The sequence below is a fragment of the Homo sapiens genome, chromosome 15 (genome assembly GCF_000001405.40).
Source record: "Homo sapiens chromosome 15, GRCh38.p14 Primary Assembly".
NCBI classification, from domain to species: Eukaryota; Metazoa; Chordata; class Mammalia; order Primates; family Hominidae; genus Homo; species Homo sapiens.
This window is the reverse complement of record NC_000015.10, coordinates 43,892,477-43,919,831: the sequence shown is the minus strand read 5'-3', so window position 1 is coordinate 43,919,831 and position 27,355 is coordinate 43,892,477. Positions and strand designations below refer to the sequence as shown.

Genomic DNA, 27,355 nt, shown 5'->3' with positions numbered 1-27,355 from the left:
TGTTCTGTGTTCTCTGTTTCAGCATTGGCTGGAATTTACAAAGTCTGTGGTGAAACAATTGAGATGTAAGTATTCTCCATGAAAAGACTCAAGCCACACCCCTGGGGAGGGTGGGACGAAACCTCCCACTTATCTCAAGTTTTGATCTACATATATAATTTCCCACTGTTCTGAGTATAAGTTGGCCCTAAATATATGAGGGTTCTCTTCTGCTGCTTCATGCTAGTGGGCAGAAGAGCCCTGTCCTCTTCTGGGTGAGAGTCTTCCCTGATGAGCACCTCTTTTTCTCTGCAGCCCAGCCTCCATTCACCATGTGCTTCCGTGTGAAGTTTTATCCTGCAGACCCTGCTGCTCTGAAAGAAGAAATAACCAGGTGAGGTGAACATGCTTCCCGCAGCCATTAGGACCTGTTGGAGAGCATAGGAAAGGGGGATGGTGACCTCTTAGAGCCTCTCATTTGGAAGCGCCTAACTCTTAGAGGCAAGGAACTCTTCCTAAATATAATGACTTCTGTATTTCATTTCCACATGCTTTCTTCGCGTACCCCTCAGTGCAGTCGCAACAGAGTGGACTTCTTTCCTTCAAGAAGTGTGAATACTACCTCTTGAACTGGTCACTCTCAAAGGGCTCTGGAGTAACTAATCAGAAGCGTCTTTTCTTTTACCTATGATGTTGCCACTGTGGACATTTTTGGAGAGAGCTATGTTGCTGCTTATTTCGGAGGTTGCAAATAGATTCAAGTGGTCTAATGGATATACTTGGAAAATGCCAAAGGCATAACACTGAAAGATAAGCTGGGAGATACTGAAGATTTAAAATCAAAATGGATAAACTCTGTGGTGCTGTTGGATCAGGTTCGTGATAAACTATTGTGGGGATCATGTTCTGTGGCAGGCCGACAGCTGCGTGGAATGCATCCTGTCTCATCCAGCGCCACTTGAGGATGAAAAGAACCTCTGTGCCCACAGCCATCCTAAAAGAGGGTCAGTGAGTGAGAGCTTCAAAGCTTCCCCAGGATTTTGTGTATCTGAGCGAAATTTACTGTGAAAGTCTCACCTCAGAGATTCAAGAACTCTACAACATGGATCCCTAATTTTTATATTAGAAAGACCTAATTTTGACATAAGCAAAACCTTGATGTTACTTTGTAGAAGGCAGGACCATAGGTAAGGATGTGATGCCAGGGAATCCTAGAGCTGAGGAAGAGATAGGACTGTCAGCTCTAACCCCTTCCCTAAGACCGTGGAGACAGCAAAGGTGGGAATGAGGATATTGCCAGCCATATAGACGGGTTATCCTGTAAGGCTTTGAGATCCACTCCTAGATCCTTAACTGCTTGGGAAAATTCCAAAGACAGAAAAGGAGGAGGGAAGAAGGAGGAAAGAATATGGAATTCTTTTCTTTTTTGAGACAGAGTTTCGCTCTTGTTGCCCAGGCTGGAGTGCAGTGGCGCGATCTCAGCTCACTGCAACCTCCACCTTCTGGTTTCAAGCGATTCTCCTGCCTCAGCCTCCTGACTAACTGGGATTACGGGCGCCTGCCACCACGGCTGGCTAATTTTTGTATTTTTAGTAGAGACGGGGTTTCACCATGTTAACCAGGCTGGTCTCGAACTCCTGAGCTCGTGACCCGCCTGCCTCAGCCTCCCAAAGTGCTGGGATTACAGGCATGAGCCACCGTGCCCGGCCAGAATTATTTTCATTTCCTGATCTAAAGAGCATGCCAGGTGAAAGGAGCAAAAATTTCTCTAAGAGAGGAAATCAGGAAATGGGGAGAGGAGGGGGCCAAGAAGCAGGCATTATCAGTACAAAGGCAACAAGGAAGTGGGACAGGGGAGAAAAGTGGCTTCTTCGGCATGGGCCCTTCACATGGGAGTTGAGGGAGATCCTCTTCAGGAAGGCTTGTTTCCTGCAGATGCATAGGGCAGCGTGTACCCACCTACTTTGAAGCACTGAAGACAGTGAAGAGTGTAGCTAGAACCAAATCTCATGTCTCTTACTAGGCATAGAAGCCCCAGGCTCTGCTCATCTATGTGGAAGTGGAGGTGGCTCTTGCTTTGCTTCAGAAAACCAAATCCATCCAAATCATAGACACCCTAAGGCTTTAGGTAGGTGAGTAAGGGTAGAACCACTATGTTTAAAATTTCAGGCCAGGTGTGGTGGCTCACGCCTGTAATCCCAGAACTTTGGGAGGCTGAGGCGGGCGGATCACCTGAAGTCAGGAGTTCGAGACCAGTCTCGCCAACTTGGTGAAGCCCCATCTCTACTAAAAATACAAAAATTAGCCGGGCCATCACGCCTGTAATCCCAGCTACTCGGGAGGCTGAGGCAGGAGAATCACTTGAACCCGTGAGGTGGAGGTTGCAGTAAGCCAAGATTGCGGCATTACACTCCAGCCTGAGTGACACAGTGAGACTCTGTCTCAAAAAAAAATTTTTTTCAAGAGTTTTGTTAAAATACCACTAGCCTGCCCCACTCATGATCTCCAGAGTGTTTGCCTTAGCTCTGAACTTCTGTCTGTCTCTGCTAAAAGAGGTACTGGTGCCAGGGCAGACCCCAAAGTTGGTACTCCTGTCTACATATCGGAGCAAACCTAACACGTCTTTGTTGTCCACCTCACTGGACCAACAGTGGGGATGAGAGGGAGCAGCCAGTGAGAGCACCACAGACACATGGCTTTCCAATTTGATTAAAGGACTGGAAATGTATGGTTATCTTGGCCCTTAGGAAGAGCTCTTAATAATACAATTTTCCGCCAGGCGTGGTGGCTCACGCCTGTCATCCCAGCACTTTGGGAGGGTGAGGTGGGTGGATCATCTGAGGTCAGGAGTTTGAGACCAGCCTGACCAACATGGTGAAACCCCGTCTCTACTAAAAAGACAAAATATTAGCCGGGTGTGGTGGTGCACACCTTTAATCCCTGCTTCTCGGGAGGCTGAGACAGGAGAATCGCTTGAACCCAGGAGGCAGAGGTTGCAGTGAGCCAAGATCACGCCATTGCACTCCAGCCTGGGCAACAAGGGTGAAACTCTGTCTCAAAAAAAAAAAAAAAATACAATTTTGTAAATCCAGTGTCACTATCTTACATGAATGGACAGACCTTCCTACCCAAGAAGCAGCATAGACCTGGGAGCTCAGATCTTACTTATGTTACTTGTTGGCTGTATACAGCCAAATAAGATACTTAACTTGGAAATAAGATACTTAACCTCTCTAACCTTAGATTACTCATTTATAAAATGGGGATAGTGATATCTACCTCATAGAATTGTCGGGAAGATTAACCACTATCCCGGCCTCTTACACTTCTTAATACACCCACAGTGAGCCTTGCACTGAGCAAAGTCTCAATATTTCGTTGCCAGATTCATTACACAGTCCGTAGGCCCCAGGGGCTCTGCATCATGCACAAGTACAGTTAGTACTGGCTTTTCTTCCTTGTTTATGTGAAAGGTACTTCTTTTCTAATAATCTCCACTCCTCCTCTGTCCCCTTTCCCCACCAGCTAGAATCCTAAAACTTAAGCAGCTAACTTCTGTTTCCTGAGAGAGAAAGCTATCCCAGGTAGTCATCCAAGTCCTGGTAAGCACAGCATTAGGACCATGGCCAGGCCTCTCACCAAGTCAGCAGACTTCAAGGACACTGGCAAGAGAAGGAGCTCCTCTCGGTCTGCATGCATTTGTGCTAACCATCTTGGGCAATTTTCCCCTCTCTCTCAACCTCACCAGCGTTCTTTACCTAGTATGCAGTTTTCCAGCATTGTCAGGAGTGTGAACCACCGGTGCCTGGGCCTGCTTTGCAGTCTTTGTGCCTCCCCCTCCCTGGGGCATTCTGTGAGCCTGTGGAATTAGCTGCATTTTTCTCCTCATTCACATCCCTACTGATCTTAAGAGAGGAGATACCGGGCCCAGCCTCACTCAACATCCGTAATTCATCCCTGGCTTAGAGCCCTCCATCCCACCTTGCTGCCAAACTAATTTAGCTGTCAGTGTGTTTTTTCCAGGCAATATTGGTCCTAAATTTCACTGCTGTCTCAGCCATTCCCATAAAGCCAGGCTGAGAGAAGGGGGTGAAGTAGGGAGTACAGAACTTGCTTCAGTTTATCTCTTGGCTTCTTCCCAGATGATAAATTTAGTTGCCAAATCCTGATTAATTTCTTTTGTCATTTTTAAAGTAATAAACAGATTTTCTTGTCTAGGCTAGAGACAAGGCAAAGAAAATGGGAAATTCAGGTACCAGATTTGGCTTTTAACAGGGATTGCAGGTGTATGAACTCTTTGGAAAGATCAAGTAGGAGAAGGAAACTGACTGCAAATGGGGCCCCGCCGTCCAAGGAAGCAAAATGTCTGACACACAACAGGTGCTCCAAAAAACGTTAACAGGATGAATCAAGACATACATGAACGAACGGAGTCACCAGGCCACTGTGCCTTCAGTGAACATCGCTTGAGCCTAGCTTAGGCTAAGATGGATTGGCAAACTTTTTCTGTAAAGGGCCAAATAGTAAGTATTTTTGGCTTGTCGGGCCATATGGTCTCTGTCGCAACTACTCAATTCTGTCATTGTAGTGTGAAAGCAGCCATAGACGATACATAAATGAATGAGCAAGGCTGTGTTCCAGTAAAATTTTATTCCATTGGAAACTATGGCAGTGGGCTGTAGTTTGCCAACCCCTGGGCTAAGAAATCAGAGAGCTGGCTTCAAATCCCAGGTTGTTCTTTAACTAGCTCTGTGACAAGGCAAGAACAGTATCTCTAAGCACTCAGTCTCTTCATCCATTAAACAAGGATTAAAATGGTAGTCACAGGCTGGGCGCAGTGGCTCACGCCTGTAATCCCAGCACTTTGGGAGGCTGAGGTGGGCGGATCACCTGAGATCAGGAGTTTGAGACCAGCCTGGCCAAAATGGTGAAACCCTGTCTCTACTAAAACTACAAAAAATTGGCCAGGCGTGGTGGCACGTGCCTGTAATCCCTGCTACTCAGGAAGCTGAGGCAGGAGAATCACTTGAACCCGGGAGGTGGAGGTTGTGGTGAGCCGAGATTGCACTACTGCATTCCAGCCTGGCAACAGAGCAAGACTCCATCTCAAAAAAAAAAAAAAAAAAAAAGGTAGTCACCTCATAGAGTTGCTGGGAGGACTGAATGAAACAGGGCACACAGCATGCACTCAGTAAATGTGAGTCTTTATTGTTATTTTGTTTTGTTATTATTTTGCCATCTCCCCCATTGGAATGTAAGCTCCATTAACAGGACTCCAGGTTGTTCCCTACTGCATTCCCAGCACCTGTGACAGTGCCTGGCACATATAGTAAGTGTCAGAACTGGATGGATGGATGATGGATGGATGATGGATAGATGGATAAGCTAGGCACAGGATGTTTAGGCTCTGTAGAAGAATATTAAAAGTAAATAAAACATAGTCTCTGACTTCAAGGAGCTTACAGTCTAATATTGGGGAGGAAGACGTACTAAACATAATTATAGTCAGGAAAAAGGAAATAGTAAATAGGGGAAGCCAGTGGCAAAGAATCTATTTGAAGGGAAGGTAAGGCCAAAGGATCTTCTGGAAAAAACTCTCCAGGAGCCTCCAGTGCTTTCCAGAGTTCACAGCCTTAAACTCTGGAAATGCCTGTGGACTCATTTCTACCCTCTGATATCAGAAAGCATTATGCCAAAGCCAATACCCTGGAGAGATGTTCGTGTTACACAAAAGCTCAGGTTTTCCCTGGCATCTTGCAGGCTCTTGCTAATTCTGTCCTGATTCACACTCCAATCAATTTAGGACAACACTAGCATTCAAACAAAAATGGAGGTGAGGTAAAGCCCCTCTGAGGCCAGAAAGAGATCAGCAGAGTTTAAAAAACAAAAAACCAGTTTCCTCAGAAGCAAGCGTGTTCTCCTAAATCCGGTCTAGAGCTCATTTCTCCTTTAGTCTCAGTGAGAATATCTCTCTGATAACAAAGGGTCCTCCTGACTTGGATTAGGACTAACCTGATAACTAAGTGAATTACCATGGGCCGAGTCAGAAGGCCTGGATTCTGATTGCTGTGTTACCTCAGATAAGTCACTCTCCATCTCTGGACTTCTATTTCCTTGGCTATGAAATGTTCTGAGGTTCAGAGATTCAGGAGGGCTGCACTAGGCAGCCCCAGCAGGCTGATCCCTTGCCTGGCAACACACAGTGGCCCTGGAGATAGTGCCTCAGGCAACAAGATAGTCTTCCTTAGGCCCTTGTGTGGCAGGGGAGAACATGCCAGGGTCTCTTGTGAATAGGTCTAAGGATGCTATGAGTCATGTGGAATATATTTCCACCAACAACATTGAGTCACTGGTTATCTTCTTAAATGAACCAAACACAAAGCTCGATGGAAGCCACTGTGGCAGAAAGGGAGGGGGAGCCCTGGTGCAGCTCATTCTCTCTCTTGAAGCTGTCAGTTGATTCTTTCATGAGCTCATCTCCTCTTGCCCTCAACTATGGTTTGTTTCTTTAGGATACTGGTGTATCCTTTTCCCTCTTCCCATCTAGTTTTATGACATTGCCTGAGAATGCCCTGTGGCCTTGCCTTTAACCTCCCTGCAGCTGTTTTATCACCAGAAATCAAAAGGAACCCTGCCCAGCAGTGGAAAGCCTTGTTTCTATTCCAGTTCACCTGAGGCCATTACCTGCCATCAATAATGATGCCTTGGAAAGACAGTGGTTCTCAGTGTGAGCAGGATCATGTTCCCTTGGGTGGGAGGAGAAGGGGAGCAAATCAGAAACTTTAAAGGGGCCTTTTCTTTTCTTTTTTTTTTTTTTTTGAGATGGAGTTTTGCTCTCGTCAGCCAGGCTGAAGTGCAGTGGCACGATCTTGGCGCACTGCCACCTCTGCCTCCTGGGTTCAAGCAATTCTCCTGCCTCAGCCTCTCCCAAGTAATTGGGATTACACGCCGACACCACCATGCCTGGCTAATTTTTTTTTTTTTTTTTTGTATTTTTAGTAGAGATGGGGTTTCACCATGTTGGCCATGGTGGTCTCGAACTCTTGACCTCAGGTGATCCACCCACCTCGACCTCCCAAAGTGCTGGGATTACAGGCGTGAGCCACCGCGCCCGGCCCAAAGGGGCCATTTCAAACCACAGGAGCACCCCCAACACATACAGATTCTGACGGGCTCCCCCTGGAAGATGTTCCCCTCTCTGCCACATTGAGAATCACTGCCCAGAGCCATGTTATCCCTTTGTAATATCTCCTTTAGTCCAATATGTACAGTCCCTGAATTTTGGACACAGACAAGCAGAGAAACATGGAAGACGTGATGCGTGAATCCAGGCCCAGGGAGTGATCAGTGAGTAAGGGGCAAAAGGTTTGCATCCACATCCTGCTGAAGCCTGTGGAAGGTGGGAGTTGGAACAGTGAGAGGCAGAGAAGTGCTCACTCACTCTCTCCCACACACCGTGTGGCATTTCGCTGTGGGAAGCAGAGTGAAGACGAGCTTGATTTGGTAGATCCATCTTAATTATTCACTCTACATGATGTCTTTTTTCCTTTCGTTTTTCTTGGCAAACATTTGGGCAGAGTAGGGTTGGTGGGAGTGAGGGGATGGGTTCTTATTAACTTCCAGGCTAAGACTCACCTTCCCTTTGGTCTGAGGAAGGCAGTCCATCCTGCTGTGGTTAGAAGATGGCTTTTGAATTTTCTTAGGACAGCTTCTTAAATTTTAATCTATACACAAATCACCTGGGGATCTTGTTAAAAGGTGTAGGTGGAAGTGTAGGATGGGCCTATATTCTTTATCTCCAATAAGCTCTCAAGTGATGCTGATACCCCTGATATGTGGGCTACACTTTGAGTAGCAAGCGCTGAGGAGAGAAGATGGCTTGGTTGCTCCCTCATTTCTGTTTGTTAATTGCTTGAATCTTCAAGCCCAAGCCTCTCAGAGTTACCTGCTAGGACCCCTTCCTACCACCTCCTAGAAGTTGCACTGTCAACAGCCCTCTTCCTGTTGAGCATTTTTACATGATCAAGTGGACAAGGAATCCTCTGTTTCATTCTTCAGCCCGAAAACAGAAACAATGGAAACCTCCAACTGTCCAGGGAGGGGTCAATTTCTTTTTGGTTCAGACTGTTCGAATTTAAAGGAATTTTACTACATTTTCATTACTCCCCTAGGGATGCTGGACCATAAAAGTTAAAATAACAAGCGTTTAATTGTCTCAGAGTGTCTATGGGTCAGGAATTCAAGAGCAGCTTAGCTGGGTGGTTCTGGCTCAGGGTCAATCACGAGGTTGCAGTCAGGAGGTTGGCTGGGGCTGCAGTGATCCACAGGCTTGACTGGAGGTGGGGACTTCATTTCCATGATGGGTCATTCAAATGGCTGTTGGCCGAAAGCCTCAGTTCCTTGCTGGCTGTTGGCAAAGGCCCCAGTTCCTCACCACATGGACCTTTCTATAGGACTGCTGAAGCAACCTCAAGAAGAATGAGTGATCCAAGGGCAAGAGAACAAGGAGGAAGCTGCAATGACTTTATGATCTCAGAAGTCAGACACTCACTCATGCTTTATTCTATTGATAGAAGTGAGTCACCAAGTCTAAGCCATACTCAGAGAAGGAATTAAGCTCTACCTCATGAAATTAGGATTATCAAAGAATCTGTGGAAATATTTTTAAATCACCAGAGATGCTCCCTGGCCAAGGAGCCACCATGGTAGGTGACCCACTCAAGGGACTGATGCTCCTCATAATCTTACAGGTCTTCTAAGAAGAGCAATAAAGACCACACTCCTTGTGAAGACATTTCAAAATGGAAAGTCATCAATTCCATTCCACTGTGACAGGGTCCATCCAACTAGTGAAACTGCAAAGCATTTATAGTGCAAGGAGGGCAGAATATCATAGTGATGAAGAGCCAAGTTTAGGGGTCTCACAGTGCTGAAGTTGAATCCTGGCTCTTTCACTTAGTTGTACGTCCATGAGAAAATCACTAAAGCCTCAGCTTCTCTATCTGTAATAATGGGGATAATAACAGTACCTATCTCAAAGTGTCATGTGAGAATTAAATAAGTTATTGCATGTAAAGTGTGTAACACCTGGACTGGCAGATCGTAAGTGCTCAATACATGTCAGCTACTATTTGCTCTTGTTTTTGATATCCTGCTTCCACCTGAGGCAACAGCTTTCTGTATTTAAAGAGGTGCTGGCCCCAGGTTTCTGCTTCATTTGTGTGCTTCTTTCACCAGTGCCTCTTGTTGCAATTTTTTTTTTTTTTTTTTTTTTTTTTTTGAGACAAGGTCTCTCCGATTGCCCAGGCTAGAGTGCAGTAGCACAATCTCGGCTCACTCTTCTTACACTTTATTCCATTTCAAAGGTCTGGTTGACCTCGGTAACTGCAGGCTGTTTCCACATATGGACAGATTCTCTTGGTAAGTTGAGGCTGAACTCTTCCTGGGCTAGTTCCTTCACCCACCATTCTACTTAAGAAGGAACATCAGCTGGCATCCAAGGCGGAGAGAGGCCCAGTTTGCCAGTCTCTGATGGCATAGTTTTCTTTTTCGGCACCAGATCGACTGGGGCTGGCTCCTTCCAAAGCTCAGCACTGTGGGGTGATGCTTTTACCAGGAAACAGCCATTTCTGACTTGAGCTACAGGAGGAAACTGGCATATTTTTAACTGAACCTCAAGTCAGTTCAGGGCAAAGTACCTGAAAGAGTTTCCAGGGAAATGGAGAATGTATTTGTTCTACATTATGTTTTAGGATTTTTTTTTAATGTAGTAAAAGTATCCTGACAAAGATTTTGATAGGCTTACAATACATATTTCTATCTTTAAAGCAATCAAAGAAATCCTTTATAGTTTATTCTCTGTTTTCTCTCCAGGTATTTAGTCTTCCTGCAGATCAAAAGGGATCTCTACCATGGCCGACTCCTCTGTAAAACATCGGATGCTGCCTTGTTAGCAGCTTACATCCTTCAAGGTAATGACTTTTGACAGGATAAGTTTGCTTTTCATGCCAAGTACTGATTACATTATTTTCAGTTAGCACTGATGACTCCTTCTTGAATCTAAACATTATCTAGGCCAGGTGCTGTGGCTCACGCTTGTAGTCCTAGCACTTTGGGAGGCCGAGGTGGGCAGATCACCTGAGGTTAGGAGTTCGAGACCAGACTGGCCAACATGGTGAAACCCCGTCTCTACTAAAAATACGAAAGTTAGCCAGTGTGGTGGCACACACCTGTAGTCCCAGCTACTCGGGAGGCCAAGGTGCAAGAATTGCTTGAACCCAGGAGGTGGCGGTTGCAGTGAGCCGAGATTGCACCACTGCACTCCAGCCTGGGCAACAGACCAAGACTCCATCTCCAAATAAATAAATACATAAACAAACAAACAAACAGTATCTAACTTGAAGCAGAGTTCAAGTTAGAGAGTTTTTTTTGTTTGTTTTGTTTTGTTTTTTTTGAGATGGAGTCTTGCTTTGTGGCCTAGTCTGGAGTGCAGTGGTGCAATCTCGGCTCACTGCAACCTCTGCCCCCCAGGTTCAAGCTATTCTTCTGTCTCAGCCTCCTGAGTAGCTGGGACTGCGGGCGCCCACCACCATGCCCAGCTAATTTTTTTTTTGTATTTTTAGTAGAGATGGAGTTTCACCGTGTTGGCCAGGCTGGTCTCGAACCCCTGACCTCAGGTGATCCACCTGCCTCAGCCTCCCGAAGTGCTGGTATTACAGGTGTGAGCCACCACACCCAGCCAAGTTAGAGGATTTTGCTTGGATTTCCTAGAGCCAGAAAACACTGAACACTCAACCCTAAACTGCGCCTGAGATCTTACTACCAGCCCCTTAAAGTCATTCTGACTCTGTTTTAGGGATTTGTCCTGGGCCCCTGGTTGATAAAGTCCCTGAGACTCTGGAGTGTAATCAGACTTGATTTTTTCCCCATCCTCTCAGGCAAATCTCCAAGATATGAAGCATCTTAGAATTCTAGTATCTATTTCAGAGACCTTTTAGTTCAGTGTGCTCAAAGTTGAAAGTGTTTCCAAGTAACAAGCACATTTCCTAACAGGCTAATAAGTAAGAGTTGAGGCTTACCCAGCTGAGGCCCAGACTGGGTTTTTTTGCAAAACAGTGGGAGAGATATGCACTCTTCACACACGTCCCCTTCTCCTGAGATGCAGAGACACTTAAGTGCCGCTTCCTAGATTCCTCTTAGTCCCTAGGCCTGAAACTGCCATTACTACTGGATCATTTTGGACGACAGCACTAAAATCATGAAGTTTCCCCAAAAGAATTTGAACTCTTAGTTGGAAATCCTGGAAGCAACTTTGTGAAGAGAACCTGGAAACTGCTTGCCAATAAGAAACTAAAGTCCTTCTGGCAATAGAAATACCACGGCTGGCTGCCTGTGTTAAGAATGTAAAATTCAGCCCATTGCCACTTTGACTTCTGAGACTCCTGTTTTTAAAATCACCTACATGGAGAGTCCATGGGGAGATACCCAAAGATGCCCCTTTGAATTTTTTTTTTTTTTTTTTTTTTGAGACAGGATCTGGCTCTGTCCCCTAGGCCAGAGTGCAGTGGTGTGATCTCGGCTCACTGCAACCTCCACCTCCTGGGTTCAAGTGATCCTCCCACCTCAGCCTCCCAAGTAGCTGGAACCACAAGTGTGCACCATCACACCCAACTAAATTTTTAATTTTTTTGTAGAGATGGGGTTTCACCACATTGCCCAGGCTGATCTTGAACTCCTGAGTGCCCCTTTTATTTTTAAAGAGAAAGCCTGGCCTGACCTAAGTCGAGTCTTAAACTCTAGTCTTTTCTACAGTTTTACCCAATCATTCATTTTCCTTCAAAAAAGTACTTGACGTCCAACATTGATGTTTTCCATTTGGAACTTTCTAAATAAAATCAATATAAATGACTCTGGGCCAGGCACAGTGGCTCACAACTGTTATCCCAGCACTTTGGAAGGCCGAGGTGGAAGATCACTTGAGCCCAGGAGTTCGAGACCAGCCTGGGCAACAGAGTGAAACCCCATCTCTACAAAAAATTTAAAAATTAGGCCTGGCACGGTGGCTCACGCCTGTAACCCCAGAACTTTGGGAGGCCGAGACAGGCAGATCATGAGGTCAAGAGATCGAAGCCATCCTGGCCAACATGGTGAAACCCCGTCTCTCCTAAAAATACAAAAATTAGCTGGGCGTGGTGGCACATGCCTGTAGTCCCAGCTACTTGGGAAGCTTCAACCTGGGAGGCGGAGTCTGCAGTGAGCTGAGATCGCGCTACTGCACTCCAGCCTGGTGACAGAGCCAGACTCTGTCTCAAAAAAAAAAAAAAAAGCTAGGCCTGGGGTGTGCACCTGTAGTCTCAGCTATAGGCTGAGGTGGGCGGATCACTTCAGTCCAGGAGGTCGAGGCTACAGTGAGCTATGATCATGCCACTGCACTCCAGCGTGCATGACAGTGAGACCCTGTCTCAAAAGAAAAAAGACTGCAAGGCTCAAGGTCACCCCAGACTTCAGACTTGGGTCTCTTGCTAACAGTAGAAGTTCCCAAGTAATTTGGAAGATACAGTGAGTAGGTTTGTAGTGAAAAAGTACAAGTCCCAAGTACAATATTCAGCCATGGGAGGAGGGCACCTTTTCCTCTTAATATTTCTCCTCCCTCAAGACTTCACATCTGAAGTGGTTGTGGCTCTCACCTGGGAAGGAAAAAGGGCACCCACAGAGTAGCTGGCCCCTCCTCTTTCTTTTGTCCTACCCACCATCCTCCCTGTGGAGAGCTTCACGTGGAAAAAGCTGGATTCTGACCTGGGTGTGGAAAGTACCGTGGGTCTTCTGCCCTCCTAAAGTTTACTGCCCTGAGATCTTACCAGGTTTAGAGATAAACTCTCTCTGAATAGCTGGAGGAGAAAGGCTCACACCTGGCAGGGACTTGAGAAATGAGCCTTAGAACTTGATGCTTCTCGGCCGGGTGCGGTGGCTCACGCCTGTAATCCCAGCACTTTGGGAGGCCAAGGCGGGCGGATCACGAGGTCAGGAGATCGAGACCATCCTGGCTAACACGGTGAAACCCCGTCTCTACTAAAAATACAAAAAATCAGCCGGGCGAGGTGGCAGGCGCCTGTAGTCCCAGCTACGCGGGAGGCTGAGGCAGGAGAATGGCGTGAACCCAGGAGTCGGAGCTTGCAGTGAGCCAAGATCGCACCACTGCACTCCAGCCTGGGCTACAGAGTGAGACTCCGTCTAAAAACAAACAAACAAAAAAAAAGAACTTGATGCTTCTGAACTCAACGATACTTTCTAGTTACAGCCAGGCTTCCCACTCTGTAGGCCTCTCGAAGGAACCTGGCACCTGGTCAGCCCTTAATGAATATTTATTCAAATTTATTAATTTGATTTGATTTGAACTGAGGGTTGAGTTCTGAATTTGGATCGCAGCTCATTCATCAATTTACTGTGTCCCTGCTAACATCCTCAAACTAGGATTTAGACTTATGATCTGGCTGAGGCCCAAGAGGATCTCCCTTTCTGATCAAGCTCACCACTTCCTGTGCTGCCACAAAGACCATTGCTCCCAGACCATCTTCTCATGGCGGAATGGATGAGGACCATAGTGCAGGCCTCTGCTCTTTCATTGTAAATTTACTTGTGGTGACCTCAGAACACAAGGTCAGCTCTCTGTCTCTCTGCATAGACTTGAATGCCAACCCAGTGTGTGCACCTGGAAAAACAAAGGTGGACATGCTCCTGAAGGGCCTGCCCTCTGCCCAGCCCACAGCCGTGCTCAGAATCCACTGTTTCTTATAAATCTGATGTGTATTTTGGCTTTTGCTCTGTGTGCTAATCTCTTGTTGCTTTGTCAATGATGATTTACCTGTCTCCACAATTGTTTTCTTCCACCTTCCTTTTGAAAGCGGAGATTGGGGATTATGACTCAGGGAAACACCCTGAAGGCTACAGCTCCAAGTTCCAGTTTTTCCCTAAACATTCAGAGAAGCTGGAAAGGAAAATTGCTGAGATTCACAAGACGGAACTGAGGTACGTGGCACTTAATCAGGCCCAGAACATTGTGGCTTCTCCACAGCCTGAGCACGCAGGCTCCACGCCGTGTCCTCTGTTCTCGCAGACTGTTTACTGACACAGAGTGATGCTCCCCAGCCTTCCTGACCGCGGATGTACCATTGTCAGTGATACACTGACAGCACAAGTCACAGCCACAAGCCCTGTAGGCTCCCTCTCCAAGAAAAGCGATTTAGCCTGAAGCTTAAAGACAAGGGAGAAGTTGTGTTATAGGGGAAACAGAGAGGGATTGGCCTTTGAAAGGCATCTGCCTCACTATGATATTTAATGAAGATACAGAGGAAAGCATGAACTGGGGAAAAGGAAAAGATAAAGGAAATTGCATAAGATAAAAAAGATGAAAGAAAAAGGCCAGGCGCGGTGGCTTACGGCTGTAATCCCAGCACTTTGGGAGGTCGAGGCAGGTGGATCACGTGAGGCCAGGAGTTCAAGACCAGCCTGGCCAACATGGTGAAAACCCATCTCTACTAAAAATACAAAAATTAGCCAGGCATGATGGCAGGTGCCTGTAATCCCAACTACTCCGGAGGCTGAGGCGGGAGAATCGCTTGAACCCAGGAGGCAGAGGTTGCAGTGAGCTGAGGTTGCGCCATTGCACTCTAGCCTGGGTGACAGAGCGAGACTCCATCTCAAAAAAAAAAAAAAAAAAAGGAGAGGTTGAGTGAGGATGTGAAAAAGGGCAGGCTTCTGCTCTTAGTCTGTGACAGTGTGACAGGTGGCTTCTCAGTGGAGGATGGAGTGCGCAGGGCTGATTCATAAATGCTGAGGGTGCCTTGGGAGCACTCTGGTTCAGAAGTATGTCCTCAGCCCCGCCTGACTCAGGCCCCCCCCATACCCTACCTGGAGTCCCCGACTTTGCACAGAGAGAAGTGGAGGAGACGTGGCTTCAAGTTTGGAGCCTCATCTTTCTCAGCTTCTCTTACTTTGCCCAGAATATGCTGAATACCATAAAACAGCATTAATGCAGCTTTTCACCCACATGAAGTAGGATTTTCTACAAAGCCTGATTTTAAAAAGCAACAATAGGGTGTTTGGGCTCCATTTGGTTACGGCACAGATTCCCCAAACTGACAAACTATGAGGAAAAAGGATATAGAATGCAGTGTTGGCCAAGCGCAGTGGCTCACACCTGTAATCCCAGCACTTTGGGAGGCGGAGGAGGGCAGATCACCTGAGGTCAGAAGTTCGAGACCAGCCTGGGCAACATGGCGAAAACCCTGTCTCTACTAAAAATGAAAGTAAATAAATAAAAAAGCCAGATGTGGTGGCACACGCTTGTATCCCAGCTACTCAGGAGTCTGAGGCATGAGAATTACTTGAACCTGGGAGGTGGAGGTTGCAGTGAGCTGGAATTGCACCACTCCATGCCAGCCTGGGCCACAGAGCGAGACCCTGTCTCAAAAAATTAAAAATAAAAAAAAGTTATGTTGTCATTATAATACATTACAGCTTTAAAAAAATATTTTAAAAGGTTTGTGTATCTACTGTTCCGAGGAAAGACTATGCCTGGCAACAGGGAGCAGAGCTGGATATTTCTAATGCTAATACTAAGCTTCAACTTGTTCCTTCCCCGACCACAGGCCCCCCAGAAACCCTTCACTCAATGATTTTACCAACAAATATAACCCAAAGCCTCCTTAGCCTTTGTAAACAGACCCCTCTGCCCATGCCTTGTGGCAGGAGGGGTTCCTGACCCTCCCAGCGGAATGGCGACACCGAACAAATGGAATCTTAGATGCTTCCCGCCCCTCTCCCTCGGTGTGCCTTCCCAGGTGCAGGACCCCATGGCTCCTCAAGTCACTCTGTTAGGGAATAGCGACCCCTTGTGGTAAAAATCAGAATAAACACGGGCCTGTGGTGTTGGGGGCAGGGGCCTCATGGTTCCTTCAAAGAGATCAGGGATGTGCTGGAACTGCCTGGAGGGCTTTAGGAGACATCAGAATAGTAGGGACAGCCCTCCAGAAACCTAGTTCAAAGCAGGGGATCCCCCAGGAAATGATGCCCGCTTTGAGGACCCTGGAGGTTTGGGCCAACTCCAAGGGTAAATGGAGCCCACAGGGCCCACTCCCCCTGCAGACAGAGGACACTCCCTGGAAAGGGAAGCTGTGCTCTAGCCAGCCCTTTGCTTGCCACACAGATATTTTCCTAACTTACCTTCCCTGTGCCTCAGGTACACTAGTGGATGCAGAAGTCTTTATTCACAGCAATACCCCCTTCCACAGGTACTTTTTCCATAGGTCCTGCCTCGTCTTCATAATGTAAAAATACATCCATGCTTCCTTTATGCAACTGTGATATGGGCTTTTGAGAGCACAGACTGTATACTGTGTTTCTTCATATATTTTCCAGCAAGTAGCACAGAGGCTGGCACATAAAGGTGCTGCCTGACTAATGCCTCTCCAGAGGGACACTAGGGGGAATCTGGCCTGGGGTCAGCTTATCTTCCTGCCTGGCCATATCACCTGAGGCAAATGATAAGCTTAGAAACGAGCAACGTGCAGTCCTGTCCACCAGCCATCAGAGATGTTGACTTCACAAGCTGCCCACCCCTCCTCACTGAAGCCAAACCTGTATCTGTAGAAGTATATCTGCTTTGCAGGGCTCTGGACCCAGGCAAGAGCCTGATGGTTATTCTGCCACTGGGTCTGCAATGAGCCCATCAACACACCTGCTAAAGAGGCAGTGGGAAGGGGTGATGCCAAAGGCCCCTTCAGATGGCCTGGAGCCGGAGCTGATCTCTGCCTTTTTCAGCATCTTTCATTTTCCTGGTCATCACCCTATGGACAGACAGCTGTTGTGGAGCATGGGAGCTCAGCACTGTCTCCTGCCTCTCCTCACCCTAATTTCCTGTGTTTCCTTTTGGCAAAGGAAGAGGGCTGGGTGGCACCAGCAAGCTATATGAGCCCCTTCTTTATATTTCAGTCTAGAACAGATCACATATGAGAAGCCTATGACCTGCTTCCAGCCTACAGATGTATTTTGTTTTACCCCATAGTATTTTAAATTGTGAAATACCACATAAAAATCAGTATCTCTGACTTTTCTTTTAAAATCACAATATCTAGCTAAGCCTTGCATTCTTTTTTTTTTTTTTTTGAGACAGGGTCTCATTCTGTCACTCAGGGTGGAGTGTAGGGCTGTGACCATAGCTCACTGAAACCTCGCACTCCTGGGCTCAAGCAATCCTCCCACCTCCCACCTCAGCCTCCCAAGTAGTGGGCCCTGCATTCTCAGTGATGGGAATCTCAGAGTTAAGATGGTGCTGCCACAGTCCCCACCACTCCCCATTGTTTACACTCAGCCCAAGTAATTCATTATGTAGCCTGCCTCACTCTGAAAACGTTTGAAGACAGTCAGAGACTCTAGCAGGAGTCTCGAAGTTGGTCCTAGAACCAAGCAGGGAGCACACCCTAGACAAACTGAGATGTGTGGCTCATCCTAAGCACATCTTCATAGAGAGTTTACCTCAGGGGAACCTGTGGGAACAAGACACCTTGAAATCATCTCATCTTCTTTATTCCAGTGGTCAAACACCAGCAACATCAGAGCTGAACTTCTTAAGAAAAGCACAGACATTGGAAACATATGGAGTGGATCCTCACCCATGTAAGGTAAGACCCCCTGGTTGGAGACTGCATGACCTTTCCTCCTCTAGAAGGCATCAGGAGCAAGAGCCCCCATGCCTGCGCTCAGAGGCCCCCTTCAACGTTTACATGGCTGGCACTTTCAGTGAGATATCAGAGAAAATGCCTGCTTTGAAAACTCCTCTGGATCACATGCTACATAATTTTGTGGTGCCACATCAATGTCAGAGGAACCGAGGCAAAGTCAATCTAAATAACAAATCCAAAGCTAGGGCCCCGCAATGGGTAATTTGGTAGAAATGAAGAGAGGAGGGATATGGAAGGCCCCCCACAGAGAACGATCAGAGGCGGCTCAGTGCCTGCCCACCCTTTCCTGACCTGTAATCTAGTTTCTTTCCGAGAGTGGGTTTTATTGACTGCAGTGGCATAAGTCACTGCACGGAACTGCAGTGGAGTCACATTTAATGCCATTATGCGCCTGTGAGGGATAGACGAGAACCAGCCGGGGAGGCTGCCCAGAGAAAACCTCTGTAATTACTCATGCACATCTGGCATTTTGGAGATGAGCGGGGGCAGCCAGTCACTGCCGAGGCCTGTGCAGACCCATGGCCCCTTCCAGTCTCTCTCTGTGGCTGTGGCCCTTCACGTTACCTCCTGTCCCTGTTGCTTTGACACTCCTGGTCTCTACCTCAGTTTCTCCACATTTCTGCCTCTCTCTTTCCATTACTGGAGAGGGTCCAGTATCACCAGTAAAACCAACTGGCAAGCTGATCTGAAGGAAGCAGTATCAGCCAGGAACAGGAAGACATCAACCTTTTCTTCCTAACTGGAGAGGGGATACTAAGCTTCAAGCAAAAATTAAAAGAATAGTATATTAGTTCCTAGGGTTTCTGTAACAAGTATCACAGACTGGGTGGCTTAAAGAACAGAAGTCTATTGTCTCACAGTTCTGGAGGCTGGAGATCTGAGATAAGGTGTCAGCAGGGTTGGTTCTTCCTGTGGGCTTTGAGAGAAGGATCCTTTCCAGGCCCCTCTCCTTGGCCTGTGGATGGCTGTCATCTGCCTGTGTCTTCACGCTTTCTTCCCTCTGTACATGTCTCTGTCCAGATTTCTCCAAAGACACCAGTCATATTGGATTAGGGCCCATCCTAATGACCTCAGTTTAACTTAATTACCTCTGTAAAGATCCTGTCTTCAAAGAAGGTCACATTCTGAGGTACTGAGGGTTACAATGTCAACATATGAATTTTTGAAGACACAGTGTATAGCGCATAACAAATAGGAATGCCGGGCGCAGTGGCTCACACCTGTTATCCCAGCACTTTGGGAGGCCAAGGTGGGCGGATCACAAGGTCAGGAGTTCAAGACCATCCTGGACAACATGATGAAACCCTGTCTCTACTAAAAATATAAAAAGCTAGCCAGACATGGTGACACATGACTGTAATCCCAGCTACTCAAGAGGCTGAGGCAGGAGAATCGCATGAACTCGGGAAGTGGAGGTTGCAGTGAGCTGAGATCATGCCATTGCACTCCAGCCTGGGTGACAGAGCGAGACTCTGTCTCAAAAAAAAAAAAAAAACCAGGAATGAATGAGCACAGTGACATAGGGACAAAGCAGTGTCCTTTGGTCCCTTGGTGAGAAGATGGTGATTTATTCTTGCCTAGGAGTTATGAACCTTGAGAACATCCTGATATTCAGAAACCCTGGTCATCTTCCCTACCCCACAGTTCCCTATCCACTAGCACAGCCTGCTGCAAAGTAACCCCTGTGTTCTTGGGGCCACACTGTCAGAAAACACATTCATGCCTGTTATACCAGAGAATTGACATTTGGATATTTACACATTAGCAAAACTTCCAAACAATGCCCTCTGTGTAACAGATGCAGTTTAAACCCCTCCATAAATTGCTCCAATACTGTTAGCAGGGCACCCACACAGGAGTGAAGAGAGCTTTGGATAAGCTGGCCCTGGGCTCCGGTTCCCATCCCCTGTTTACTGGGGCCTTTGGGAGCTTCTCTGAGCCTCACTTGAAAGTACACAGTCTGTGTTCAATAACTGCTCCCTGAACTGCTGAGTCACTCTAGGACCTTAAAGACGGCTGCCTGAAGATATGTTCATCAGAAAGGGCCAGGTTACCTCTGCGTTTGACCCCAAACCTGCCCAGTCCCCTTGAGGCCACACATAGCACCCACCTCTTCAGAGACGGGTCCCTGAGCAGAGTTGAAAAGACACAGAGATGGGCAGACAGTGAGCCCGAGCACTACACTGACTAGAGCGGGGAAAGGGATTCTCCACCGTTGCCCACGGGATTCTGGAAGCTGTAGTGGCAGCCAGCCTGGTTTCCAACCCAAATACACATGCACCCCAGGACTGTGAGGCTCCTGTCTCAGCCTCGTCTTGGGTGAGTTTGTCCATCATTGGACGCAGAGAGGCTGAAGAGGCTGCAGGGAGGAACCAGCATTCATACCAGGCACTGTTGCCACCCAGTCACTTATGTCATGCCATCTCAATCCCATAGCATCAACTCCTGGAAGGAAAGAGGGAGGGAGGGAAGAAGAGATGTTTGTGGTATGCCTCCCATGGCGGCCTCAGTGGAGTCTTTTCACATTATGTTCTCATTTAATCCTCACACCAGCCCTGGGAGGTAGATGTTATTCTCCCTGTTTTATAGATAAGAAGACTGGCATTCCAGGAGGCCAAAATTCACAAGCCCTCAGCGGTAGAGCAAGAATTTGAACTCAAGTCACTACCCGTTGTTATGTACCCTATGGAAGAACAGAAACCCCCCAGGAGACTTCTTTTGGGGGAGTGCTCAGGTCCCTTGTTCCTGAGCCCTGTGCCTCTTCCTCACCCAGGGCCATGTCAGGGCCCTATTGCAGACCCCACACATAGCCCCTCAGCTCCTCTCATTAGGCTCTGGCCATGATTCCTCAGCTCTCCCAGCAAAGAGAACAGTTTAGGGGCCTTTACTCTTGTTATTAAGTGGAGTCACTTTAGTGATATGCTATCAAGTGCTCGCCTTAATGCTGCTACAAGAAGAGCTGAAATAAGCTGGCACACTTGGTGTAATAAATACTGATGATTTCTATTAACAGAGAGGCAATTACTGGGCCCAGGGAATCTGGGGCATGCAGCCCTAGGGAGGACAGAAGAGGAATCATTTTGATAATTAAATGAGAGCAGAACAACGCTCTAGCTTAGGCTCTGTCCCCTGGACTGATTAAGAAGCTGCTGTTCTTCCTGTGCACACTGATGGTTTCTTTCTGCCCAGAATGTCCTTGTCTGGCCCTGGGACCAGGAAGAGGAGATTCTACAAATGCTGGATGGGACAGCCAGAGAGCTCTATTAGCTAATACCCAAATTCCAAAAGTGCAGGACAAGGCTGTCCTGCATTTTCTGCCTTGACCCTCAGCCCTCAACTCCTGGCGGGAGCCCCAGCAGCCCAAGCCTACAGCTGCTGGAGGAGGAGAATGAAGCAAACCACTGGCAGTCCATTGCTATATCTGTTCCCTGGCCCTGACAGCACTCCAACTTCAGGAGCCACCATCTTGCTCCATCCAGGTAGCCCTGAGACTGGTGGTTTGGCCTGGGTCTCCTGCAGCACTGTACTTTGGCCTCCTGGGCCCAACTTACGGAGATGTCCTGTTACGGTTCATGGAGTAGTGAGGCCTGTTACAGATGCCCAGCCTTGTTGTTAAGAGTCTTGAAGATACCATTTATTGAGAGTCTGTCTGTGCCAGCTTTGTACATTATCTCATTGAATCTTTACAACATCACTGCTAAGAAGATATTCTTGTCCTTATTTTAAGATAAGAATACTGAGCCTCTGAAGATGCAGACAAGAAGGGATATGAGGGAGATAAGTCCCCTCTAAGGAACCAACTAACATGCCCAAAGGTACTGGGTAACACAGTAATGCCCAAAGGTACTGGGTAACACAATACTGAGGCTCGAACCCAGGGTTATCTGAGTCTCAGTGCTGTGCTTTTTCAATTATTATTCATGGTCTTCCCTCTGGAGAGATGGAATTTAGGAACTAAGCACAACTCATTGCCAATTCTGACACAGAAAGGACACTGACCTACAAGATTATTGATATCATCTGTCTTAGTCCATTTTCACACTGCTATAAAGAACTACCTGAGACTGAGTAATTTATAAAGAAAAGAGGTTTAATTGACTCATAGTTCCAAATGGCTAGGGAGGCCTCAGGAAACTTACAATCATAGCGGAAGGGGAAGCAGGCATGTCTTACATGGCAGCAGGAAAGAGAGAATGAGGGGGGAGATGCCATACTTTTAAACCATCAGATCTTGTGAGAACTCCCTCACTATCATGAGAACAGCATGGGGAAACTGCCCCATGGTCCAATCACCTCCCACCAGGTCCCTCCCCTGTCACATGGGGGTTAAAATTCCACATCAGATTTGGGTGGGGACACAGAGCCAAACCATATCATCATCCTATAAAAATTTAATGTAAGTTCACCAGTGTCTTTATGTCTGCTTTGTATAGACCAGGATAAAATTGATTTCAACAGGATCTAGGTTAGATCAACCACAAAAATAAAATTACACTGTCCCTCTGCCCTTAAAATGGAATCATTACTTTCATAATCCAGCCACCTAGCCAGCTCTCTAAAGAAGAACCCCATCCCCCATCTTGACGAGTTGCCCCTCACTTTTTTTTTTTTTTTTTTTTTTTTTTTTGAGATGGAGTGTCACTCTTGTTGCCCAGACTGGAGTGCAATGGTGTAATCTCAGCTCACTGCAACCTCTGCCTCCCGGGTTCAAGTGATTCTTCTGCCTCAGCCTCCCAAGTAGCTGAGATTACAGGTGCACACTACCACGCCCAGCTAATTTTGTATTTTTAGTAGAGATGGAATTTCACCATGTTGGCCAGGCTTGTCTCAAACTCCTGACCTCAGGTGATCTGCCCGCCTCGGCCTCCCAAAGTGCTGGGATTACAGGTGTGAGCCACCATGCCCAGCACCCCTCACTTCTGAGAAACAGAACAAGAAGGATCAATGATGGCTGTCCCACCCTTGGGTGGGCCCATCTTGGCTGTGTGGCAGGTAGGGTGTTAGATTTACTGCTGAAATGAAGAACTTCACCAAAGCCACCTGGTGCAGTTTCCACCAGGAATTCCTTTCTGAGCTGTCATGGAGTAACACCAAATCTCTTACAGGGTGCCTCCTCCTCCTCCTCCTTCTCCTCTTCATTTCCATTCTAGTTTATTGTGGCCAAGTTTAAGTGTAGTATATTCAAACTGGGTGATTTTCATGACTGACTTCAGCTTCCCAACTGTGAGCTCTTTCAGAAATGGGCGTATCTGGTACAGCATGTGGAATCATCTTCCAGAGGGTTTTATAAGAAATAGTGGCTTCATTCATCAAAATTGAATTAGTTTGAGTCATGGCCCAGAGAGGGCACAGTATGACCCTAGAGGCCTAACAACCAAGAATGCTGTGTTGCCTACTCAGTCACACCCAGTGTGTCCTCTAGGGTGGCAGGAGACAGAAGGCTACTTTGAATCTGGAAATGGAACTGGTGGGGACTAGAAATGGTGGCCAGATGTTCCTGCTTCTGAACCAGTCAATGCTTTGATTTGCAAGAATCCTTTCCTGGGCAGAGTGATCATCCTAGGGTGAACTTTGCTGGTGTTGACTGACACAGGTGAAGTTTGATGGCAGGGGCCATGTAAACACATGAATGACAAGGAATGCATGTTCATCCCCTCTCCAAGGAGAATACCGTTGGCCACATCCTAGCAGTAAGATATTTGGTCTATCTCCCTAAAATCAGATGGAAGTAGTATTTCTCCAGGTATATATTATTGTCCTTATTTAGCAAATGAGGAAACCGAGGTTTGGAGAAGTGAAGTCACAGAGGAAAGAAGGAGGAGAGCTGGGGTCCTAAACTGAGACAGAAGCTCTTTTCACAAGGATGAGAAATTGAAAACAATTCTTTTTAACCTCACAACTGAAGAAGTGAACTAGATTATTTCGACTGTTACCTGCTGCAGAGTGTAGCTGGCGATATCCACGGCATAGCTATCAGGACCCTAGTTTGTTTTCCACCTCCCGACTCCATTAATGGCTCAGTCCTGTGGGCACTGATTTCATAGGGATGGGAAGGGGACAGAGAAGAAAGAGAATCCAGCTTGATAAAATGGGAGATCTGAAGAACAGGTGACTGTTGACTCTTCACTTCTCACCTTGTCCTCATTCCCTCCTCTTTTTGTCATGCAACTTGTTATTTTGCACACAAACTCCAACGGCAGGCTCACAACAAGAATGACAAGTCAGATAGAAGAATCTGGAGAAGTTCCAGGGAAGGTGTCAGTGTGGCTGCCTGCTTGTATTTTCATGCCAGTACAGATGTGAGATTTCCCACTGTAATTCGAGTCCCTTCCACACTGATTGCTGAGCCTCATGTGCCAGAGGCAAGTTGCAAACATCCCAGCTGTCATCTGCCCCTGCGGATACCGGGTGTCAGGGTCTTGCGGTGGCCTTCATCTGCATCTGTTGCATTTGAAGCAGTTTGGAGAACTGCTCTCTTCATATGAGATTGGGAACAATTGGGATTGTTCAAGGTGCTATTATTGCTTATGAAATGATGTGGCATCTCATTTTCATTGGGTTTTATTCCCAGCTCTCTGCTCTAAAGCAGCCAGTCTGGTTAGGAGAGGCTGTGCTCCTCTAACTCTAACACCTGCCTTCACTCAGAGGCCAGCTCTGAGGTATCTGCAGGATGCAGGGCAACCTGGCCAGCACCACCCATCTTGTGGGACTGTGTATTCCCTTTGCTCTGCAGAGGGACAGAGGTCACTGAGAGGACTCTGGCGGATCTCTGACTGTGTCATGGCCTCTGTTCCCTTCCCATTCTCACTTCAGATTCATGGATCACCCCACTCTTCCATGGTCCCCTAACAGTGAATTACTTCTCCTTTTTTCATTCTAACTTCCCACATTTTCGTTTCCTAACTAGCAAAATTTAAATCTGTCAACATCAGGAAAAATAGTAAAATGTTAGATTTTACAAAAGGATTTGTATTAAGTTCAACAAACTCAGCTAACTAGTAGCAGCTATAATAATATTAACAACAAACACAGGCCGGGTGTGGTGGCTCATGTCTGTAATGCCAGCACTTTGGGAGGCTGAGGTGGGTGGATCACTTGAGCCCAGGAGTTCAAGACCCACCTTGGCCATATGGTGAGACCTTGTCTCTAAAACAAACAAAAAACATGGCCACTAGCATTTGTGAGGTGCCTCCTAAACATAACCTATGAGGTAGGTAACACGATCAACCCTCATTCTAAGACAAGGAGTCTGACCATGGAGAAATTAAGGACCTGGCCACAGCCACACAATGAGTGGCAGAGCTGGACCTGGACCCGAGCGGTTTGACCAAGAGCCCGCACCACTGTGGTTCTAGTGGGGGTGCTCTTCTGCCTGTCACTGCCCATATGAGCCAGAGTGGAAGAAGCAGAGGGGGGCCCTCCGCTGCCTCCCTCCCCTGCCTTCCCTCCCAACTCCCTTCCCTACTTCCTTCCGTTATTTCAAGCTGTCCAGTAGCCTCCTGCAGGCCCAAGGCTTCATTTCCATCCCTCCACCTCTCCTTCCTAGGCCTTTCCTTTATCTCAGCGGGCATTATGACCCCTTCCGTGCCTCTGCCTCACCTCTGCCTCCCCTCTCATTTTTACGCACATACGGACGTTCCCCACTGCAGCCAGACTGGCCCCTCTGACCCACCCCACTGTCTAACACCTTCATCTGCTCAACATTTTCTGAGACCCTTTCTATACCACCATTCACACAATAAGGTCTCCACTCCCAGTCTCTTTCTTTCTAAGCCTGCAGTTGTAGGACTTCCCCGGGTCCTGCTTGCACAGTGAGCAGAAGAGACAGAACAGGCAGGCTGCCTCCCTCCCCAACCTCTCCCAGTCATTCTTACCTCAAGGCCACCCTTCCCTGACCCATACCTCTGCCAAGCCTGCCAGATTAGCCCTGGTGCCTCCTGACAGGAACAGTGTTTGTGTGTAGTGCCTGGTACTCAGATATTAATAACCACCACCAGGCACTGATTATAAGCAGGAGGAAAATCAGCCCTGTGGCTTCATAGTGTCTGCATTCCAGTTATTTTTAAACAGCTTTTTGTTCTGCCCATGACATTGTGCTTGTAGCCAAGTGTCTGGATCATGACAGACCCTGAGGAAAGGATAATAACAACAATACATTAATTGCAAATGTTTGCCAAACATACACTTAGTTTATTCCCTGGACCCAGATGCTCATACTTGTAACCCTGACTCTGAGAGATAGTTTTAAGGCAAAACTGGACTGCTTCTTGAGGCAGGACTCATGAGGCCCTGCAGAGGCCCCACTGTTCTTGCGACCAATCAGGCTGAGAATCTGTGTCAGGGAGGTGAGCCCTGAAAGCAGAGAGGCCAGGAGAGCCAAACCTCAGGCTGACCTGGCCCAGCAGCCTCAGCCCCCACACCCATGCCTCACGCCCGGTGTCTGGCCCTAACTCCATGGCACCACCTGAGCTGTGGCCCAGAAGACTCTCCTGCAGGCACATTTGACCAGCATCACAGCATAAGTTTCTGGTCACCTCAACACACTTACACCCTCTCCATCACCATTCATGCAGCCTGACGGTGCCAAATCTCACCTGACGCCCCTGTCACAAAGGAAGCCCCTCTGGGAGGGCAAAATCCTCCACCCAGCCTAGACCTCAGGGAGCTCACTTTCGCAAGTGAGGAAGCGAGACCTACAGCTTCTGCTCCGCCCGCTCCCCACTATGTTCAACAGAGCCTCAAGCCTGGTGTTTACTGACTGATGGTGCCAGTGACCAGGAGGCCCTCTCTGTTGGTTCAGGCACCTCAGGGCTGGTGGCAACTGTTCTATTTTGCCAGTTGCTTCTTGTTTTTTTCTTCAGCTAAACTTTCCTGAGGGGCCCAGTGTTATAGGACTATTATGAAAGTGGATAACAACTCCCCCACTCTTTAATAACAGCCTTTTAAGATGTAATTCACATACCATAAAATGTTTTTTTTTTTTTTTGTTTTTTCGTTTGTTTTGTTTTTTTGAGATGGAGTCTCACTCCGTCACCCAGGCTGGAGTGTGGTGGTACAATCTTGGCTCACTGCAACCTCCACCTCCTGGGTTCAAGCAATTCTCCTGTCTCAGCCTCCTGAGTAGCTGGGATTACAGGCACGCATCACCACGCCTGGCTAATGTTTGTCTTTTTAGTAGAGATGGGGTTTCACCATGTTGGCCAGGCTGGTCTCGAACTCCTGACCTCAGATGATCCACCTGCCTCGGCCTCCCAAAGTGCTGGGATTATAAGCACGAGCCACTGCTCCTGGCGATATGTGCCCTTTTAAAGTGTACAATTCAGTGGTTTTTAGTATATTCACAGGGTTAAAAGATCACAACCTGATTTTTTGTGACTGGCTTCTTTCACTTGGCATAATGTTTTCAAGGTTCGCCTGTGTTGTAGCGTCTATCAGTCCTTCATCCCTTTTTACCGGTGAATAAGATTCTACTGTATCATGATACTACTTGTTTATTCATTTATCAGTTAATGGAAACTTTACACTGGAAAATGGATTGGGTTGTTTCTGCTGTTTAGCTCTTAACACATACTGCTGCTATTAACATACATGTACCAGTTTCTGTGTGGACATGCATTTTTAAATCTCTGAGCACATAC

General features: G+C 47.2%; 1 protein-coding gene across 12 annotated transcripts in view; it reads left to right on the top strand.

The window, feature by feature from the left end:
- FRMD5 (FERM domain containing 5) overlaps window positions 1-27,355 on the top strand; it is a 328,710-nt gene that overhangs the window by 279,642 nt on the left and 21,713 nt on the right. For 9 of the 12 annotated variants that reach the window (XR_931927.4, XM_047433194.1, NM_001322951.2 and 6 more), the window contains 5 exons: window positions 23-65; window positions 295-373; window positions 9,853-9,950; window positions 13,881-14,004; window positions 17,570-17,657. Coding sequence is in view for 9 of the 12 variants with exons in the window: in NM_001322951.2 (NP_001309880.1) it covers window positions 23-65; window positions 295-373; window positions 9,853-9,950; window positions 13,881-14,004; window positions 17,570-17,657 (432 nt within the window). In the remaining 3 variants the exon portion in view is untranslated. Of the gene's footprint in view, window positions 1-22; window positions 66-294; window positions 374-551; window positions 984-2,002; window positions 2,108-9,852; window positions 9,951-13,880; window positions 14,005-17,569; window positions 17,658-27,355 lie in introns of those variants that run through there. The other 3 variants (NM_001286491.2, NR_104455.2, XM_047433195.1) reach the window with 3 other exon arrangements.